The 1,554-nt window shown below is 45.8% G+C and overlaps 1 annotated feature.

Annotated features, from left to right (window-relative positions):
- Positions 727-906: an enhancer, noted in NCBI's record as "active region_7327". NCBI's record gives its function as "activates an Ori minimal core promoter by ATAC-STARR-seq in GM12878 lymphoblastoid cells {active_cell/tissue: GM12878}" and the evidence as "EXISTENCE:reporter gene assay evidence [ECO:0000049][PMID:35858748]".

The raw sequence follows: 1,554 nt of genomic DNA on the forward strand, positions 1-1,554 counted from the left end.
TATGACCATAAACATCTCTTCCCAAATCCTTATTCAGTCCCATCTCACTGGTAGCTTAAAATCAGCCATGGGAGGGATATTTACAAAATCAAAATTGGAAAACATTATGTGATGGTTAATATTAGATGGCAACTTGATTGGATTGAAGGATGCTTAGATGGCTAGGGAAGTATTGTCTCTGGGTGTGTCTGTGAGGGTGTTGCCAGAGGAGATAGACATGAGTCTGTGGGTTGGGAGAGGAATACCTACCCTCAATATGTGTGGGCACCATCCAATCAGTTGCCAGTATGACCAGAACAAGGCAGGTGGAAGAAGGTGGGATGCCCTTGCTTGCTGGGTCTCCTGGCTTCTTTCTTTCTCCCATGTTGGATGCTCCCTCCCACTCCTCCTGCCCTTGGACGTCAGACTGCAGGTTCTTTAGCCTTTGGACTTTAGTACTTGTACCAGTGGTTTGCTGGGGGCTCTTGAGCCTTTGGCCACAGACTGAAGGCCACACTGTTGGTTTCCCTGATTTTGAGGCTTTTGGACTCCAACTGAACCACTACTGGCTTCTTTCTTCCCCATCTTGCAAATGGCCTATCCTGGGACTTCACCTTGTAATTGTGTGAGCCAGTTCTCTCTAATAAACTCCCTTTCATAGATCCATTGATTCTGTCTCTCTGGAGAACCCTGACTAATACAGATTCAACTTTCTGTATTAATCTATTTTTACACTGCTAGGAAGAAATACCTGAGACTGAGTAATTTCTAAAGAAAAGAGGTTTCATTGGCTCACGGTCCCACGGGCTGCACAGGAAGCATGGCAGTGTCTGCTTCTGGGGAGGCCTCAGAGAGCTTTTACTTGTGGTGGAAGGTGAAGCAGGAGCAAGCACTTCCCATGGTTGGGGCAGGAGGAAGGGACAGGGAGGTGCCACGCATTTTTTTTTTTTAATTTTACTTTAAGCTCTGGGATACAGGTGCTAAATGTGCAGGTTTTGTTACATAGGTACACATGTACTATGGTGGTTTGCTGCACCTATCAACCCATTATCTAGGTTTTAAGCCCCGCATGCATTAGGTATTTGTCCTAATGCTCTCCCTCCCCTCATCCCCCACCCCCTGACAGGCCCCAGCGTGTGATGTTCCCCTCCCTATGTCCATGTGTTCTCATTGTTCAACTCTCACTTCTGAGTGAGAACATTCAGTGTTTGGTTTTCTGTTCCTGCGTTAGTTTGCTGAGAATGATGGTTTCCTGCTTCATCCATGTCCCTGCACAGGACGTGAACTCATTGTTTTTTATGGCTGCATAGTATTCCATGGTGTCTATGTGCCACATTTTCTGTATCTCATCTATCATTGATGGGCATTTCTGTTGGTTCCAAGTCTTTGCTAATGTAAACTTATACAAAAATTAACTCAAGATGGTGCCACACATTTAAACAACCAGATCTCGCAGTAACTTACTCACTCTCATGAGAACAGCACCTAGAGGTTGGTGCTAAATCATTCATGAGAACTCCACTCCATCGATCCAGTCACCTCCCGCCAGGCCCACCTCCAACACTGGGTATTACA

This window comes from Homo sapiens, chromosome 12 (genome assembly GCF_000001405.40).
Source record: "Homo sapiens chromosome 12, GRCh38.p14 Primary Assembly".
Lineage (NCBI taxonomy): Eukaryota > Metazoa > Chordata > Mammalia > Primates > Hominidae > Homo > Homo sapiens.